Source organism: Homo sapiens, chromosome 1 (genome assembly GCF_000001405.40).
Source record: "Homo sapiens chromosome 1, GRCh38.p14 Primary Assembly".
NCBI classification, from domain to species: Eukaryota; Metazoa; Chordata; class Mammalia; order Primates; family Hominidae; genus Homo; species Homo sapiens.
Window position 1 is genome coordinate 232,615,378 of NC_000001.11, and position 19,928 is coordinate 232,635,305.

General features: G+C 43.3%; 1 protein-coding gene and 1 long non-coding RNA gene across 7 annotated transcripts in view, besides 2 other annotated features; one reads left to right on the forward strand and one right to left on the reverse strand.

Annotated features, from left to right (window-relative positions):
- SIPA1L2 (signal induced proliferation associated 1 like 2) overlaps positions 1 to 15,119 on the reverse strand; it is a 232,532-nt gene extending 217,413 nt beyond the window's left edge. For 3 of the 6 annotated variants that reach the window (NM_001377488.1, XM_017001896.2, XM_047426142.1), the window contains exon 1: positions 15,053 to 15,119. The gene's annotated coding sequence lies outside the window, so the exon portion shown is untranslated. Of the gene's footprint in view, positions 1 to 14,491; positions 14,757 to 15,052 lie in introns of those variants that run through there. The other 3 variants (XM_005273213.5, NM_020808.5, XM_047426141.1) reach the window with 1 other exon arrangement.
- Positions 14,534 to 14,633: a silencer, noted in NCBI's record as "silent region_1957". NCBI's record gives its function as "represses an Ori minimal core promoter by ATAC-STARR-seq in GM12878 lymphoblastoid cells {active_cell/tissue: GM12878}" and the evidence as "EXISTENCE:reporter gene assay evidence [ECO:0000049][PMID:35858748]".
- Positions 14,694 to 15,173: a silencer, noted in NCBI's record as "silent region_1958". NCBI's record gives its function as "represses an Ori minimal core promoter by ATAC-STARR-seq in GM12878 lymphoblastoid cells {active_cell/tissue: GM12878}" and the evidence as "EXISTENCE:reporter gene assay evidence [ECO:0000049][PMID:35858748]".
- On the forward strand, positions 15,205 to 17,550 carry LOC124904551 (uncharacterized). Its single transcript, XR_007066943.1, has 2 exons — positions 15,205 to 16,059; positions 17,380 to 17,550. It is a non-coding gene; the product is annotated as an uncharacterized LOC124904551 (long non-coding RNA).
- Positions 17,551 to 19,928: the final 2,378 nt, after the last annotated feature.

A 19,928-nucleotide genomic window follows, 5' to 3' on the forward strand; every position in this document is an offset into this window, starting at 1 on the left:
ATTAGAGAAGGAGAAAATCACACACACAACTGCTTCCTTACTATTTGCCCCGACCCCATCCCAGCTCCTCAGAGTATGAGATGGCCCCTGGACTCCAGTGGAACTTCCTCTGAATCACAGGAAAGCCAGAGGGCCCTGCAGTCATTCGAAAGGTTTTTGCTCCCAAGAAACCCTCTGGCTCCTGAATAAGTGATTACCATTATTCCATTCATCAAGTGTCTCTTAAGCCTTCTATTATGAGTCTGAATTTTAAACAGGGACTAGGTCTTTTATTACATCCCCTGATCCATGTCTCCAGTAACATTTCTTTCGAAGTTATAGAATCTGTCAACAATCTAATTATTAGACTTTACCCTCCCTTCCTCCACCCAGAACTAAACTACTTCCAATGAGGGGGGGCAGGGAGGACTCTATCTTGAGAAATATTATTAGAAAATCTACTGTATTTCCAGAATAAGAGCACCACAAGGGCAACACCCTGTCTGCCTTACTCACCACCATAACCTGAGTCCCTAGAACTGTGTCTGGTAAAAAAAGAACATGTAATAAATAGCTGACGAATGAATACATCTGAGCACCAGCTATACGATAGGCAGCTTTTCTCGATAAATCCTCTCCATAATACTATGACACAGACTGAATTTTTTGCACTTACAGGTTCAGAAATGGGGACTTTTAGAGAGGAAGCCGCTGACTGACATACAGGCCCCATAGCCATGGAGATGGCCCCTCAGTCTTAGCCCATGTCTGATCTATCCAAAATGTGTTCTGCATCTTGGGAGTACAGTATAGCAAAAAGAGCTCAAGATCACAAGGACTTTTATCCTACAGTAGAGAGGAATACTAACTAGGGAAGCCCCCAACACAAGAGTTCTAACATCCAGCATCACACAAAGCATCATAAAACCCGCTGGGCAAAGCAGAACCAAACAATTGGCAATGCTAATTCCACAAGACTAGAACAGAAGCCCAGGGATAACCAGCTACACGACATTCCCTAGCATCCCCTGAAATTAGGTCAGGTCATAGTAAGAGCTCCAGAAGAATGAGAGTGGAAGGGATGGAGGAGACCCTTCTGGGCCAGCCCTTTAGGTGATGCACACCTGGGTGCCCCTTCCACCTCAACAAGCCTCAGCGCAGACCACTCAGGGCAATGCAGTGAGGCTGGGCCCTATGGTGGCAGACACAGATGGAAGGAACCTGAATCCACACGTGTCAGGTGGAGGAGAGCAGCCTACCTGTCCGGACTTTGGGCTGTCACCCTAGAAAGAAATCAGCTTTTCCACTGCCAGAGCATTTTGTAGTGTCTCTTAGAGCAGGCAGAGCTACCTTAACCAATACAGCCCTAAGGAAAAGTCTTCCCACCTTGATGGCACATTCCACATGCAAAACCACCATTAACCCGGTACAGCTGATGAAAACGTTTTAGTACTTTCATTTATGTTTGGAGAGGTTTAGCAACTCAGAACTTCAGTAGTAGAAGAAATAGAAAAGCGGGTGGTTAACTAAGTCTAGAATTTTATTTTTAGGTCAACTAGGTTTTCATTTTGCCAGCCAGTTCTCTTCAGCATAAGTGATTGAAAATCTGTATTTTTTCAGGGCTAATTGATTAGTCTCCTTCACATATTATCATAAAACTGAACTCAGGAAATTTTTTTAGTTTTAATAATTGTTGCATTTGAAATAATTGGAAATAATTTGAATTAATTAGAAATAATTCCTCAGTTTTGCAAAGATAAACAGATTTATTTCCATTCACCTAAAATTTTCTAAGTATCAGATACAAATAAACCAGTAATATGTCAGGATCCATCTCTTCAGAAGCAAAGTTGCTCAGCTCAATGCTGTGAGCTGGCCTGAGCCAGGCCCGCAGCAAGTGTCAGCCAACTAACAAAAGAAGCACCTCATCTCCAGAATGAATGGGTGGGATGTAAGATGAGACCCAGTGGGGAAACTGCCAAATCAGATAGGAAAATCACACCCCTGTAAGGAAAAGGGAAGTTGAGATGTGACTGAAGATAAATACATAAATATCTGACAGAAATTGCTCCTAAAATCATCTGACAAATGGATATGACCTCTGAAAAGGTCATGTGATCAAGATGAAGGCAAAGAAAACCCAGTGTGGTCATATAAAGTATACAACAAAGTAAAAATAAATAAATTATGCTGAATTTTGAAAGCAGCTTTATACACAAGAGTGCATACTGCATGATTCCATTTACATCACATGCAAGAACATGCAAAACTTATCAATGGCCCTAAAAAAAAAAGGAACAAAGGTTGCCTCAGATAAAGGTGGGAAACAAAAAGAGTAAGTTGACCGGGCAGGGACATCAGAGAACTTTCAGAAGTGGGAGAAACATTTCACATCCTAATAGAAGTATGGGCCATATGGGTGTATGCATTTATCAAAACTCCCAGAATGATACACTTAAGATTTGTGCATTTCACTCTATACCTTTTACTTCAAAAAATGTAAAACTTTTTAACTCGTTTACAATATACATGCCGAAGTGTTTAGTGATAAAAGTGTAAAAAGTGTGCAACTTACTCTGAAATGCATCCAAAAAATAAAATGGATTGATGGATGGGTAGAAGACGGAGAGACATCTATAAAGCAAATAAAGCCAGACCTAACAACTGTGGGATCCAGGAGGTGGGTACAGAGGTGTCCACTACACCACACAATATTTTCAGCTTTTCTGTAAGATTGCAAATTTGCATGATAAAACGTTGGGGGAAAGTATATGGTGATTACACTGAGATTTACTGGTTTAAATAAATCTCAGAAGTTTAAAGCAGAACGCAAATCTTACCCAGCACTTACTGTTAGTTCATGAGACATAAGATAGGAAGTGGACTGAAGGAAGGGAGCATCAGCAGCAAACGAACAACACCCCAGAGACCTGGGGGCGGAAGGGATGCTCAGGCGAGGCGAGCTCTTTTTGTCCACAGACATCCTTCCTAATGTCGCCTCAGTTTAAAACTCTTGTGGCTGGGCGCGGTGGCTCACACCTGTAATCCCAGCACTTTAGGAGGCCAAGGCGGGTGGATCACAAGGTCAGGAGTTCGAGACCAGCCTGACCAAGATGGTGAAACCCCGTCTCTACTAAAAATACAAAAATTAGCTGGGCATGGTGGCGTGCGCCTATAATCCCAGCTAATCAGGAGGCTGAGGCAGGAGAATCGCTTCAACCCAAGAGTCGGAGGTTGCAGTGAGCCAAGATTGCACCAGTGCACTCCAGCCTGAGGGACAGAGTGAGACTCCATCTCAAAAAAAAAAAAAAAAACTCTTGTTACTCCGCATAATTTTAAAATAAATCACTTCAGTGTATCAATTATCAAGTTATATATTCCTAAGTATAAAGTCTCAAAACAAAACACATGACCTTGAGTTGCAAATATAATACTATGTGTATATTCTGTCAACTAACTGAAATGAATTCAGTAATTTTATACCAAAACGTCATTTATATCTCTGTATATCCAAAGTAATTTTTCCTTTAGTTTTATGACACAGTCTATAACCTTCAGTAAATTACAGTGAGGAAAAAAAACATAATGACCATCTTACGTGATAGACAAAGTAATTATCACCACTTTGAAAATACTGTCCGTCACTTCTCCTTAATGTTGCTTTTGTTAATAAAATGCATCTCTGGAGTTGCAAAACCTAAACCAGGCAAAAAGATGAGTTTGTATTTAAGCAGATCATTTTAATAGAGATAGTACTGTGATCAAAGGAACAACTGAGAGTGTTCTGTATGTATCTTCTGGTCTTGGAGAGGGCCTACAGTTTCCCTGCACACAAGAGGCCCTCAACAAAAACTCAAATCCTAACCATTTTCCAAAGCTTAACTCAAGTTCTATCTTCCTTGAATGTTTTCCTAACCATGCAAACCCACCTTATTCTCAGCTAACCACACAGTCTTTCATCTGAAAGAAGCTGTAGCGCCCATCTATCATATGGTCTCATTTACACAGGAATCTTTTTCTAATACACCTGACACATAGCCATCAACTCTGCCCAAGTTAGTTAGTTCATCACCTAAGAAGGCAGTGCATTCATCACCTAATAAGGTAGCCCATGCTACTACACAATAGCTCTAGTGATTAAATCATGCCCTCTGATAGTTCTGAATCAGTAACATCAGGAAGTTTAACTAGAAGAACACTCAAAGTCCCTCCGAGGACTAAATTCTAAGAGTCAGTTAATTTGCTGACTCTGCCTGACAGCTACCCAGGACGGGATGGAAGGGATGGAAGGACAAGATCCCTGTCCTCAGGGGTCTCACACCCTAGGGTGCCCCTGTTAACTTGGAAATCTTAGAATGCCAGCATTTAAAAAGACTTCAAGATGGCATGGTCCCACATCCTTATTTTAAAATTGGATTATAGTCACTGCCCCAGAAAGCTGAGGGAGTTAGACAAGGCCATGGAAGAACCCCTTATCCCACTTGTATCATCTGCAATAGCAGGATATTCTACTCTGCTCTTAAATGCTCCAAATAGATTTTTTTTTTAAGATGGAGTCTTGCTCTCTCACCAGGCTGGAGTGCAGTGGCGCGATCTCAGCTCACTGCAACCTCCGCCTCCCGAGTTCAAGCGTTTCTCCCGCCTCAGCCTCCTGAGTAGCTGGGATTACAGGCACGCGCTGCCAAGCCTGGCTAATTTTTGTATTTTTAGTAGAGACGGGGTTTCACCATGTTGGTCAGGCTGGTCTTGAACTCCTGAACTCATGATCCGCCCGCCTCAGCCTCCCAAAGTGCTGGGATTATGGGCATGAGCCACCACGCCCGGCCAGATTTTTTTAAATTACCATTTTTCTCCGTAGTTTTACCTGTTCCAAAAAGGAAGAAGATAAAAGTTCACTTTTAAACACACTAATGCTTGCAGGGATGACAAGGAAAGCAAGTGCATATTGCCAGAACCCTGTTCCATGAAGGTAGGTGTCTCGATGTACACTTCTCTCCACCTTCCTCAACACCTCCCAGGGTGCTACAGCAAGGGAAGTACAGATGTGCTAAGCCTTTGCTATTGGAATAACAAAGAGCGTAGTAAGATGAAAGCAGTGTCTCTTGAAACTCTCCTAGGGCCTTGTTCCTCATTCCATGCACATATCCTGTGCCGACTCAACATCCCCTCTGCTCCACAGCTTATCTCAGAAAGAACTAAGTTACGGTGCCAAGCTAAGAGGATGAATTTAGAAAGCTTCACATAACCAGACGCACAGCGACAGCAGCCATCAGACATCACCCAGATTTAACTGCCCTAAAATTAGCAGTCAGAGCAAAGTAGTTACTGCAATGATTGCGTCAGAGCTATTCTGACTGGCAAACTGCCAGTTTTAAACAAATTGTCCTGCTTTCTCTACCAGGGAAACAATATTTTGGAACAGAGCCAGCTAAGCATTTCAGTGAATGTTCAAATTCTAGCTTCTCTATTAATGTTGTATAATTCAATGACAAGGTGAACAAAGTCTACATAGGCTACATCTGCAAGGGTGTTATTTTCTTTGTTGTAAGCACTTATTCTTTGGGTGAGTAAAGTACTGTGGATGAATCCTTTTAAATATTTAAATGCCTGAAATGTATTTAGGGATTCACATTCAACTGGCTTAAACAAAGATTATGCAAATCTAGCAAAATATAAATGCAAAACAAAAATTGTTTTCCTCTTATATTTCTTTTAATCTTGGCAAAGACTCGGGCTAAAAAAAATGTTCTCTGCATGATCACAGAAGGACCCACTCACTTCCCAACAAAGAATATATAACCTGATTCAATCAGTAAAACTGCTACCTCACCACAAATTACAAAATTTCTAGTTAATAACAGACAATTCACTGGCTGAGAGAACAGGGCAGTTTTTAGACCAGAACAATGAGCTCATTAGCCCAACCCTCAGCCTCCACTTCCCCCTTTCAGTGATAGTGAGTCGGTAATTCCGCCATTCTTATATGCACACACCTTCTTTAGTTCCCTCCCTCTCTCCCTTCTTCCTTTCTGTCTTTTCATTCTTTCCTTTCATCATGATTTATTGAAACCTACCATACCTTACAAGTGAGCTGTAGAATAAAGAACACTATAGCTGGAACCAAGAGAAATGGGTTTAAAACATAAGGACTCAGATTCAGAAAACCACACTTTCATTAAACCTTAGTTTTTGTATCTGTAAAAGGGAAAAAAATCCCACCAGCCTTATAAGGTTCTCGTTAAGTATACATGAGAGAACACAAATGAAAGTTCAAGCACGGTAACATTTTACACTCGCCTTTAAGAATATCTCTCCCCAATTCTTTATTCTCTTCATAAATCAACATTAGTCTCCTTCACTTATTCTTGTCATTTAAAACATTTTTTTTTTTTTGTGACAGGGTCTCACTCTGTCACACAGGTTGGGGTCCACTGGCACGATCAGCCCACCGTAACCTCGAACGCCTGGGCTCAAGGGATCGGCCCTCCTCAGCCTCCCCAGTGGCTAGGTCGACAGGTGTGCACCACCACACTCGGCTCATTTTAAAATTTTCTGTAGAGATGGGGCCTTGCTTTGCAGTCCAGGCTAGTCTCAAACTCCTGGGCTCAAGCAATCCTTGCCTCAGCCTCCCAAAGCACTGGGATTACAGGCATGAGCCACTATGCCCAAATTAAAACATTTTAAATGGGAAAAATGACCTATTATTCCAAACAAATGAGTTACAACGATCCTCAAATAAAATTGGTTGATAAATTGGATGCTTCTACTATCATGTATGCCTTGCTTACAGCACTTATCACAGCATACCTTATACACAAATGTAAACAAATAGGAGTTAGAATGACATCCCTCTAATGTCATATTATAAGAACTAGCACTACGTTAAGATATTAAAGATAAAAGACTTTTACCATATAAAATTAAGACTATGGCTACTGAGCACCTACCACATTTAAGGCATAAATAATATCCTCATGTACTGAGTCAACAAAAGATGCACTATACAATACTGATGGGGTTTTTAAACATCATGATTTCCTGTAGAAATGAACCCTGCTAATGGACTGAGAGCTAAAGGACTACAGACAGTACTACACAATTCAGAAATCCTTTCTGTTCAGTAAGCTTGATTAAGCCCCAGCCAGGGCTTTTAAGTCAACTGCAGCCTCATGGGATTCAAATAGGGCTATGCAGGCATCAGCACAGATGAGACTTTGAAACCTGGGAAAGGTGTGAATCATACTCTCTCATGAAAGGCGGCCACCTAAGGGTGCCCAGGCTCCCAGGAACCACACCCCTCTGAATGGGGCTATAAAGTTCTTGATGTAACAGATGGAACACAGTCCCTCTTCAGAAACTTCCACATTTTTACCAGTTCCATATCAGAGTTCAATCACAGGTCATTTCAAACGACCCAGGAAAGGCATAAATGAGGTATAAACTGTTGTTCAAGATAGATCATGTACAATAGAAATAATGATTAGAACTTGCTCAACAGTATTTAGTTCAACAAAAGCCAAGATAAAGGAAGTTCTTTTACGTTCAACCCACAACTCCCAATCATTTCTTTAACAAATATTTGTTTACTGTGAGCCTATTATGTGGCAAAAACCACCTAAGTGCAGGGAATACAGCAGTAAACCAGAAATGTCCCTGCCTGTTTGCTGCTTATGTTCCATTATTAAAATCGAACAGGAGGATGGGTGGGGGTGGATGGTGCTCGTTTAGCTGGAAGTTACTGGAGATACAAGAGCAGGGCTCCCTGCTGTCTCTCCTCACTCATTCCCAACCCACTAACGGCTGGGAAGCCAGGCATTCCTTGCACTACGGGTGGCTGTGTGCTACAGTTCTGGCCAATCACATACAGACAGAGCTAGGCTGTCAATCTGAACTTTTAACATACCCTGATCCTGGGAATGCTTTCGTCTGAGTGTGATAGTATGATGCTTCTTAAACAGCTGAGTTCAGAACAGGCACAGTGGCTCACGCCTGTAATCCCAGCACTCTGGGAGGCCGAGGCGGGCAGATCACGAGGTCAGGAGATCGAGACCATCCTGGCTAACATGGTGAAACTCCGTCTCTACTAAAAATACAAAAAAAAATTAGCTAGGCATGGTGGCAGGCACCTGTAGTCCCAGCTTCTTGGGAGGCTGAGGCAGGAGAATGGCAGCAACCCAGGAGGCAGAGCTTGCAGTGAGCCAAGATCGCACCACTGCACTCCAGCCTGGGTGACAGTGCGAGACTCTGTCTCAAAAAACAAAACAAAACAAAACAAAAAAACAGCTGAGTTCAATTAGAAACTTTCTAAGGAGAATAGCATCGCCATTACATTAACCTCCTACCCCTCAATAAATGAAACCCCAAACCAAGACCCACAAGCAATTCTGGAAGAAAACAGGCCAAAGTCAGAAATGTCTTCGGGAAAAAGAATAAATACACAGTAAATATAAGGCCCATCAAGAGTGGAGTTTGTCTTCCGCTTGCCTCACAAGACCCTACAGGCTCCCTAGAAATTCCATTTCTCAACTGCTATAAACTCTAACCAGTGATAGTACAACAGTGGTCTCTACACAGGGGCCACACATTTCAAAGATACAAATGCCCTTGAGATGCAGAGAAAATACTTCTACATCTATTTATTTTTAATATTAATCTTCTTAAAATGTACATTTGTTTTATGTCCATAATATCTTAGCACAGTAAAGTATATGTTTATACATACAGATATATTATACATATACACACACACAAACGTGCATGCAGATATGTATACATGTATACGCATACATACATGAACACTTAGACAATTGTGTATAGATGGGATGCACGTTGAAAAAAGTTTGAGAACCTTGAGAACCTGCTAAAAAGAAACCACTGTTTCTTGCATTAGGCCATTTAAACACCTGAAACAGGTAGCATTTGCCCTGTACAAAGAATCAAAACTATAATTCCTAAAATTACTTATTAGAAACTTCAATACGGAGAGGACAGTATCCCAAAGCTATTCCTGAACAATGTGAATACCCACTGTTCAACAAGGAACCAAATGTGTTATCAAAACCACCTCCAGAAGACAGTGAAAGTAGTTATGCTGACTTCACAGGACACTATGTCTTAAGCATTAACCAGAACTTTCTTTTAAAACTCCACACAATAGTTCATCTCAGCAGACATAATCTTTTATTCACCCAGGAGTTCTTACTTTCCACAATAACAATTTTTAACACTGGCTCTTTACCTAGATATTTTTACTTAAGAGTTTGAATAAACTACCAGATAGCTTACTTCGGACTGTTCTGATTTCTTGAGGAACTCAACTAAATGGGGATATTTCTCAGAAGATTAAGCAAATATGTAGAAGTGAAAAATATGGAGTAATCTAATGGGCAGAGTTCAAGACACCCCTTTTGGCTAAATGTTTATTAGTAAAATAGGAAGAGAAGTATATCAACCAATTAAAACAAAACCGGAAGAGACTGTGGTGTTCTTCCCCACTATCTGAAAGCAATTCAACACAAGAGAATACCAAACCAAAAAATAAGCTGAAGAAAGTCCAACAATATTCTGATTTTTCCTAGAAGCACTGCAGTTCCTAAGGCCTCCGGAGGTCACAGATCACAGTGTGACCCTAGTGTCTCAATCCAGTCAGTCATTTAACACATTTTCTTAATCATATGCAGAAGAGAGTGCTCGTTACTAGGGACACACTGAAAATGAACTCATTATTACTCAGCATAACTTGGTCAGTAGAACCAGCAAAGGAGGTTTGACACACTCTTTCAGGATATCCATGTGGAAAGGTGGAGCTATATGGGCTAGTTATAAGATATGAAGAGCATTAGTAGTTAACTATAACCGAGAGTGTGACTCCTTGTAAGCCTCGAGGGAAGCTTCCAGAGACACACTTCGTGTTGTTCAGCCAGTTTAACAATTTCATCACCGGCTTAAGTAAAGATATAAAAGAGTCTGATCTAATAATGTACAGACAGCATTTCTTTGGGAGGACAGGTAAAGGTGCCAAATAATATAATCAAATTCTAAAAAGCATGATGGAAAGAATCAGCTAAAATAAAGCAAAACCACAGCGCAATAAATGTTAGGTTTTGCAATGACATCAGCGCAAGATGGAAAGACGAGGTTCAATGGCAGCATGTGATTAACGGCTCGGCAGGTTTTAGCGAAAAGGAAACTCGTTGAGTCTGGCCACCAGAAAAGTAAATGCAAACTTGGACTACATCAGTGCAAGCAACATGCAACCTATGACAAGACACTCCTGCTGTACTCTACACAGGTCATGTTCACGGGTCACGTTACACCAAGAGCCCAACTCTGACAGAGACTGAAGGATTTGTTCTGTAGGCCACCAAGGCAGTAGAATTTGAATAAACAAGCAGAATCAGATTTCAATTCTATAGGCCAAAAAACTTTCTAGTACTCAAAACCATTAAAAGGTGGAAATCACCACCCGTTACTTGCAATGTTCAGGTATTACCGGAAGACCACTTACAGAGATTATATAAAAGGATCCAAATATCAAAGAAGGGTTAGTTGAGCTACTCAGTGATTTCTAAACCCCGGTCCTTAGTGAATTTTTCATTGACCCATGCAAAAGAAAAAAGTGTCTGTGTGGGGATAGATATAAATCCACGAGTGGGGTAATTTTAACACAGCTCCTCTCTGGATAGGAAGAACTCTCCTTTAAGTCTGACAGCATACATATTCTTCCCCCTTTCCCCACCTTTTCTCTTTTTTGGTACATCAAAAGGATTTTGACGAAATGCATTGACAATAGGTAGTAACTGCTGTTGTCAATTTTAAACACACTTATGTAGCAACATTAAATGCTGACATATCTGACAATCCCTAATATTTGCTTTTTTTTTTTTTTTTCATTTTACAGGTAGACGAAAACAAAAGGTATAGGAACAACATGACGAGACAATCTTTAAGGTCCTTTCTGGCCCAAAGGAGCATGACAACTAGACTCGACTTGCTGCATATTTTCTTCCTTCCTACCACCCAACTTGGCTATCTAGTACTGGGGGAGAAGAACGAACCAAGGAATTGGGTTGCACTAAATATGAAATCTCTCAAGAAGCAGAACCTCAACAGTGAGTCAAGATCTGGCTCCCTTCTACAGCTGCTGTTCTTTGGAACCAAAGTTTATGAATCCAGTTCAGAAAGGATCAAAATAATCTATGTCTAAAGTTGGGAAGCTTTTAAATTCCTACCACATTGTTACCACACTTTTAAAAGGAGTCACAGCTACATGCAACTGGAACACAAAAAGCAATTTCTGAATCATTGATTTCAAGGTAAACCAAGTAGCTATGACCCTCATGCAAAGCATTCACATACAAACTTACTATAGGCCAAGGCAAAGAAATGACATAATCATGAAAAATATAAACATCCCAGTCAGACAGGCATTTTCATTACTCTAATGCGTTCGTCTTAAACCTTAAAGAAACCCCAAATTTTGGTGCTGAAAGGGATCATGAAAATAGTTTCATCCAAATTCATTTGTGACAGGTGGTAGAGGCAGGAAGCTCAAGGTTCCTGTCTGTGCCTAAAGCTTTTTCTACTCTCACTCTGCAAATGAATTAGGCACATTAACAGAAGTAGAAAACCTAGAACATGGTTCACTATTCTCTAGGACTGTACTTTGTATTTCATTGAAGTTCAAAACAGAAAGAAAAAAAAAAGCAGCTTTTCAATTAACAATACCCTAGTCTAAATTTTCTTCAAATTCAGTGTGTCTTTAAAAGGATTTGTAATCCTCAACTACCACCATAAATTGATCAGAAGTTCAAAAACTCAATGCCTTCCTCAATCTCAAAAAATAACGCTGCATTTACCAATTATGGTTGGGGGCAAGGGGCTGTATCCACATAAACACATAGTTCTTTGCAAAGTATGCAGGAAACACAATCCCTTTAAACTAGTTTCGATGCCCAAACACAGTGCTTTTAAACCAGTTTCAATTACCAAACAACTGGTTTTTCAGGGTAGCTAGTATTTCCTTACTTTCAGAAATAGACTGCTAATTTCAAAATAATAACCCGCTTCTCCTTTGCCTCAGGTAAAAAGATCCCCAAGGTGGACAAGTGTTTACTAAGCTCAGGTATCAAGGAACCCTTCAAAACACCATCCCAGTCTTGCGGGGTGAGGGGGAGAAAAAAAAAAACACCTTCCAAATCCATATTACACAGCTTTAACTACAGTAAGCATCATAGAAGCCAAATCATGATCTGATAATTCCCTTATTAGACTAAAAGTTACATTCCATACAATTAAAGCTCTTTGAGAAAATCTATGATTTCAAAACATAAAAAGCATCTAATGAAAAACATATACTTAAAGCAACTGGGTAAAATCTGTGGCCCATACTAAAAGCCAGAAGCTCCACCCCCATACCTGTGATCTAGCTCTTGCTTTTCCGGATCAAGTGCTTACACTGCTTCTTATCCAGGTTCATTTCACCCCATCTATAGGTAGAATGTGGGTACTGATAAAAGCTGTTTCTGATTTCATTTCCTACTTCCCAGATGTTTGCTCTGTAGTTTTTCTTCTTTTTCCTTCAGCTATTTATGAATACACTCTAATTTAGAACAAATTCAGTATGTCTTATTTTAAGCTGGGCAAGGCACACAATAAATGATAGCTACAAAGATAATTTCAAGATATTTACTCAGCGTATAAATAAGTTTGCCTACCTAGGCAAGATTTGGACAGGCTGCCGTGATCTTGCTTTAGAATAAAAGTGCTTAAAAACATAACTGGGAGCCTGCTGCTGCTGCTGCTGCTGTTACTGCTGAAACTACGGGCTATTGTGCTTGTCATAAAAGGGCTTGTGCTTAGAAATGAAAAAATCAAACATCCTCTGGGGAGATGTCCCTAACACAATCCCTGGTATGAATCATGCAGATACTTTAACTGCATCTCTTCCCAAAATGGATCAATGGAATCTTTTAGGAAGAATCAATGTGATTTATACCCAAAACTTAAGAAAGACTGCATTTTTCTCATGAATAATACTCTCTTATAACTCTGAATCAAGCAGTGAAATTCAATCAAGCGGTAAACATCTTTTAACTGGAAATATTGTCTAAACAGAATGACAAAACTAACAGAACTCTGAATTCTTTAAATAAGTCCAAACATGAAACAAGCATTCTTAAATGATGTAACTAAATACAGTAACCAAGTTGTCTCTTGAAATTCAACTTTGGGAATGCCAAAAATAATAGGCCACCTCTCAATATCCGCAAAAATATCGGTATGTGTAGGTTTTCTAGGAAAGCAATAAAAAGCAACAGTTTGGGAGATCTTTTTTCTTCAATTACTAATTGTAACACTAGAAAAATTACAACCTAGGCTGCACACAAACGCGACTCAAATGGGCAGTTTACTAAATGTCTGTCATAAGAAAGCCATCTAGTGTTAACGTTTAGAATGGAGACTGCAGACAAAAGAGGCAAAGAAAAGAAAAATCTGTGCGACTATTTTGAACTTACTGGGCAAAGACATGAGAATCACCAAGATTCTTTGAGGGTTTTTTTCCTTGTTTTTTTTAAAAAAAAGCCATCCTTGTCAAAACCCAGTCTCAATCTAACCAAAATCCAAAATGTCTACAATTTTGTTTTGACCAAAATCATGTTTTGGTGAGCACAATTCCGTAACCAATGCACTTGATTTTTTCCAATACTCAGGCCAGAGTCATCTTGGGCTGAATTAATTTAACTCAAGCAGGTTAATGATGACAAATATCTCCCACAGGGGTAATGCCAAGTTGTTCTCTCTTTCCGAGAAGCCTCGGCTCTCTCTTGCAGATGATGAGCCGAAATTGATTCTTTGGGTTTGCGGCACGGCTGAAAATTAATCTGTAGGTGTTCCCAGGGATATTCCCAGGACGTGGGCAAACTACCCTCACTGACACGGGAAGACCCGGAGAGGCCCAGGAGCTGGCAAAGTGGGAAGAAAGGTCGCGGTGAGTGAGAAGAGCGCTCGCCGGAGGCTCCCGGTCTTACAAAGAGGGATCCGTCCCGGTGAGGGCGCGCGCTCCGGGCGCACCCCCTCTAGAAGGGGAATTAGCCCCGCAGCAAGTTCGGCGTCAGCTGGCCAGGCGCGCCGGGGAAGCTGCGTCGGGCAACCGCGAGCCCTTCCAGAGAGCGTTAGTCAGAGCGAAGTTCTGGGCACCTGGAGAAGACCCTCCTCAGTGCCTGTGTCGCCGAGACGGGAATAACCTTTCAGCCGATCGATAACTTGGAGAGAACAGGCGGCGGCGGCTCCTCTTCCAGCCGGGGATCGGGAGCGCGGGCGCATCTGCGTCTACAAGCCGGACCCTGCGCCGCGACCCTCGCACCCCCGCGCCCCTCGCACCCCTCGCCGCCGTCAGCCCCCCAAAGCGCCCCGAAGGGCATCCCCTTCCCCTTCGGGACAGTCCCCGCCTGGCCGCAGGCATCCCGAACCGACCCTCGCCACGCTGCCCGTCGGATTCCCCGACACGAACCTTCGCAACGCCGTCCGCCGGAACCTGCTACAGCCTGTGCGCGCCGGGCGGCGCGTACCCGGGCTGCCGCCTCGCCGCCCGCCGCTGCCCGGGGCTGCCCATCGGCCCGGACTCTCCCCGCGCCGGGCTCCGGCGGAGGCGGCCCGGACCCGCTGGCTGCGGCTGGAGCTCTCGGCCTGCGCTCGGGCGGCCGGCGGGGGCGCGGTGCTCCTCCTCCGTCCTCCTCCTCCTCTCGCTCCGCCAGCTCCTCCCGGGCTCCCAGTCTGCCGCGCCGGCTCCCGATGCCACCGCCCGCCCGCCCAGCGGCACCGCCCCCCGCCCGCTCTGCGGGCTCCCATTGGTCGCTGCCTGCAGGCCCCCTCGGCCCCGCCCCACGATTGGGCGCGGACGCCGTCAGTCTCACCGTCCGCCCGGCTCCGGGCGCAGCCGGTGCGCTGTTCCCAGGCCCCGCGGCGCGCGGGAGCTGCGCGTCCAGGAGGGGCCCGGACGCCCTTCTTGGGGAGGGGGCTGCGGGGCGCATCATGAGCGGCGCTGGGCGAGCTCGAGGGCCGGGCAGCCTACCTGGACCCCGGCTTCTAGAGAGCCGTCGCCGTCCTTGTCGAGACTCGCTTTCGCCCCTCTGAGGAATAAGTTAAAAACCGCGAGTCTGGTTCTGAGCCGCCCCCTGGCGCAGGCGCGACCCCACCCGGCCCTCCCGTCTCCCAACTTGGGACAGACGCGGCGGCCGGGCGGTCGGATCCGTGAGCCTCGGCCGCTGGGGCTACATACACAGCCCAGGACGCCACAGAATCGCCGAGGCCCCGCGAACGCCCAAACGGCCGCAAGTCGAAGTGATCCCATCTGAAGAAGACAGCGCGAGGAAGCGAGACCCTGCTGTGTGCCGGCCCCCGGAGGGCGCCCCGGGCCCTGTGGGTCGGAGGGTGGGGAAGCACAGAGAAACACGCAGGCAGTAAAACGTTAGGAGGACAGGGGGTGCCAGCGTGCAGGAAATGCTGCTAAGAGACCTTTAGGAGCCAAGGGGAAAACGGAGAGATTGGCAGTTCCAGGCACCCACATCCCAGCGCGGTCCGCTCACCCCTTCCTCCCTGCCCTCCAGGCAGCGCTCAGCCCACGGTAGAAATGTCTTGCATCTTTTTTCCGACGAGGAAGAATTGAACTTTTTATACCCAACTTTTCTGCTTTCTTAGAAATGTTGACTCACCTGTGAGGAAGCATTATTTGAAACTATTATTGTAAATTGCTTGACATTTGAATTAGATGCTGAAAGATTAAAGGGTCTCAGAAGAATCTTTTAAGCTAGACTGGAATTGACTCTGCCTAAATGGACAGCAACAGTCATCTATACGCAGGAATAATAAAGCAGGTGGAGGCAGCCTCTAACTTACCTTCCAGCCACACCGTAGAATTTCCTGAGCAGGCTTTTTTGTCAGAGTTTTGAGCTGGGTTCCCTGAGACTGGATTGGGGCTTTCAGTTTCTCCCCTTCTAGAGTCAGACTTCTTCCTGAAGAAAAAGTGTTATCTCTACTTCCCTATCACAAACACTTCCTAGAACACAGCCCTGTTAAAAGGTAAATAGAGGCGGTCCTTCCCACACTATATTTCTCTGTGATCTGAAGCATGTACACATTATACAATCTTTCGTATCTTTTTAAATTATAGGTATAATCTGTGGGATTAGATATAACTAAACAGGTCAAGAAGCAATCCTGTGACATAATACAATTCCTGAGCACTCCAGGTTTTGATGAGTTTCCCAATTGTCACCCCATTATCAGCATTTACAAGATTGTCATGTATTCATTTAACAAACATTTATGAAGCCGGGCGCGGTGGCTCAAGCCTGTAATCCCAGCACTTTGGGAGGCTGAGGCGGGAGGATCACAAGGTCAGGAGATCAGGATCTTCCTGGCTAACACGGTGAAACCCAGTCTCTACTAAAAATACAAAAAATTAGCCGGGCGTGGTGGCAGGCGCCTGTGGTGGCAGGCACCTGTAGTCCCAGCTACTCGGGTGGCTGAGGCAAGAGGATGGTGTGAACCCGGGATGTGGAGCTTGCAGTGAGCCGGGATCATGCCACTGCACGCCAGCCTGGGTGACAGAGTGAGACTCCGTCTCAAAAAAAAAAAAAAAAAAACAGATTTATGGAGATCCTCTGATGTTCCAGACCATACTAGGTGCTGGGAATATAAAATGCACAGGACATAAGGCTCGGCTTTTCAAGAGCTCACCAACTCACAGGTGTATCCTCATATGTTGTAGATACTCTACAAGAGGTATCAATGTTATCTCCTGTGTACTCAACAAAACCCTGCAGGAGGAGCAGCCGTGAAGGAACTTTTCCTGGGAGTGCCTAGGGAGGACATGATCACATTTCACCTTATTGCGTGTTTCATTGTCTATAAGGGCCTTGAGGAGAAGAACCACATCTCCTCCAGCATTTTGATCCCTAAGGCACAAATCCACTACAATCCGGAGCAGATCCTTGGTCAGTGGGTTGTCATTGAGGTGGGTCTTAACTGCTGCAGCTACAAATGTACACTGTCTAATAGATGAAGAGGAACCCATCCCTTTGATGTGTTCCTTAATATCCAGTACATAATGATCATATATGGAAGGAAGTCTGACCAGACACTCTTCGATGACGGTGTTAGCCACAATTCTCACTCTCTCACCTTCCCATCCCACTTCTTGTGCTTTCCAAACTAAAATTGAAATATCCTAAGCCCCACTACCAAGGTTGGCAGTATTTTTTTTAATGCCTGTAATTGATTGTGCAGAGTAAATATTTGTGTACGTTTATGAAGGTCCGTGGGAGTTTCTTACTTTCCCAGAACTCCACGTCACATGAGGCTGGCCTTCATCGGAATGTTCCTGCTTTCAACAAACAGGTCCTGAGTGAGCCCCTTTGCTGTGCAGAACAATGGTGATACATACAGGCGAGAGCAAAACCCACGAGGTGTCCACCTCACGGCCGACCACAAGAGATCCTCAAGAGACACATCTCAGGAATGATTCTGAACCTTCTTCACCAAATAAAATATTCCAGAAATAGTATTAGATTTAATGTGTGTGTCCCTCCTTGCTGGTCTTCCTAGCAGCAGCCTTCTTGTTTCTTGCCTTTTTAGGCAAACAGCCTGAAACTTAGCACAGACGGTGGAATTGCAGCACCTATGAAGATATCACTGCATCCTTTTTGCCTCAGGACATCTTACTGAAAATCATTCTATGTTAAAGCTATACATTTTGCTGAAATTTTGAAGACAAACATCAATGGTGAATTATAAACTTGTATTTGCCTAAAGGCTAGTGTGAACTTATCACTTTCGCCTTCCCCCAGGCCAAGATTTTCCCTCCCCTTGTTGCCCAAGCCTCACTTTCTATCCCTCAAAATTCTTCTTTCTCCTGTGAATTGCATCGTGTTCTAGGGGTTCCCAAAGAAACAAACTAAAGGGATTAATTCTTTTTTTTTTTTCTTTTTTCTTTTTTTGGCAGGGGATGGAGTCGCTTTGTCACCGAGGCTGGAGTGTGGTGGCATGATCTTGCCTCACTACAACCTCCGCCTCCCAGGTGCCAGTGATTCTCCTGCCTCAGCCTCCCAAGTAGCTGGGATTACAGGCACGCACCATCAAGCCCTGATAATTTTTCTATTTTTAGTAGACATGGGGTTTCAACACGTTGGCCAGGCTGGTCTGGAACTCCTGACCTCAAGTGATCCACCCATCTCGGCCTCCCAAAGTGCTGGGATTACAGGCGTGAGCCACCGCGCCCGGCCTAATTCTTTTTACAGTTTTCTTCCAGCACATCCACGCCTGAAATAATTCCAACATCAGTCTTACCTATTTTTCTCTAAGTGTAAAGAGAGCTGGAGTTCAAAGACATACCAACTGTCTACCCTGTTCCAAGGTTTTGCACTTCTTGGCTGACCTTGCCTGGTACTTCTAGCTATTTACGTTTGAATTTAGCAAAACGGGAGTTTTATTTTCTTGACACACTGCAGCAAGATTCTACCTACAGATGAAATGTGTACACTGTAATAAACCTGAATACCTAAGTTAAATAAGGGTTTACACTCCTATCCTTATTTCCTCCTTCCGTTTTCTATTACTAACCATCTTTTAATAAGTATTTCTTTTATGTCAAATGAAGATGTATAATTTGCAACAAATAGGCGTTGAACGCATATTACATTCAGGGTATTATATTGGACTCTAAGGACCCAAAGGGCAATATTTATTAGAGTATATGAATTTTATGATGAGGAGAAGAACTTGAGAGCAGGTGCTCGTGATCACCAATGAGTGGCGCCCACAGAGAGAGCAGGAGAGCCAGCCATCTGGCTTGGGCCAACCAGCAAAGGCCTGACCAAGGATGTGAAACTGGCCAGGCGAGAAGGAGAGAAGAGAGCACTCTACCCCTGGCAAGAGGAAGCACTGTGGGCGAAGACACAGGAGCTGCCTGTGTCAGGCATGTTTGAGAAACAGCGGTGCCCTTTGGCCAAGCACAGGCTTATTCACTTGTGTAACAAACACTTACATGGCACTTCATCCATGTCAGGTTCTGTTTTCCTCTTAGAAGGGAAGTCCTCACAGACAGACAAGCACATGGGTGCTGCTTCAACTTTTCTTTTCTTTCTTTTTTTTTTTTTTTTAAAGGAAACCTCTTACAACAGAAACATGTTTGAATATGGTCTTGTGAGGTAAATTAAGAAATACAAAGTTCTGCTGCAATTTTAAAAGAAATGGTTCAGCTGCAGCTCAGAAAGCTGGGTTACTGGCTTTAGTGTACTACCAGTCATGATAAAAAACAAAGCACATGTTTATCTTAAAATGAAAACCACTAGAATAACATAAAACCAATAGGACAACATAAATGATGTGCTAAGTACCCTATACTGTCCATAATAGCCTTAGAAGAAACCCATCTAATATAAAAGTCTCAGTTCTGTGGATATCTACGGAGGCCTACTCTGTGTTCAGTTCTGCTCTGGGGGATGCGGATTATTACAGATAAATAATGAGACGATCCTCAAGGAAATAAAATACTACCTAGCTGGGAGTTTCACAGAGGAAGCAATTTTCAGATTACTGCAAAGACAACACATTTAAAATGCCAACTTGAATTTAATGTTGTATAGATGTGTGACATGGAGATCTGGAATGGCCAATCCTGGATTGCGTGATTAAGGATCACTGACAAATATCCTTCAGAAGCGAAAAGTTTCTTGTGTTCTTAATCGCATGTTTCAGAAATTTAAAATCCAATGTTTGTCTTTGCTGCAATGTGTCCAATCTAATGTATCTCCAAGAATCTTCTAAGACAGGTGGGTTATTTCTTTTCTGATGATTCAAACTCTTGGCCGTAGCTATTTTACATTTTATACCCCTTGTTATCTCTTTCACTTTCTCTAGTCTCAGACCCACAGGTTAACAACTTGTAC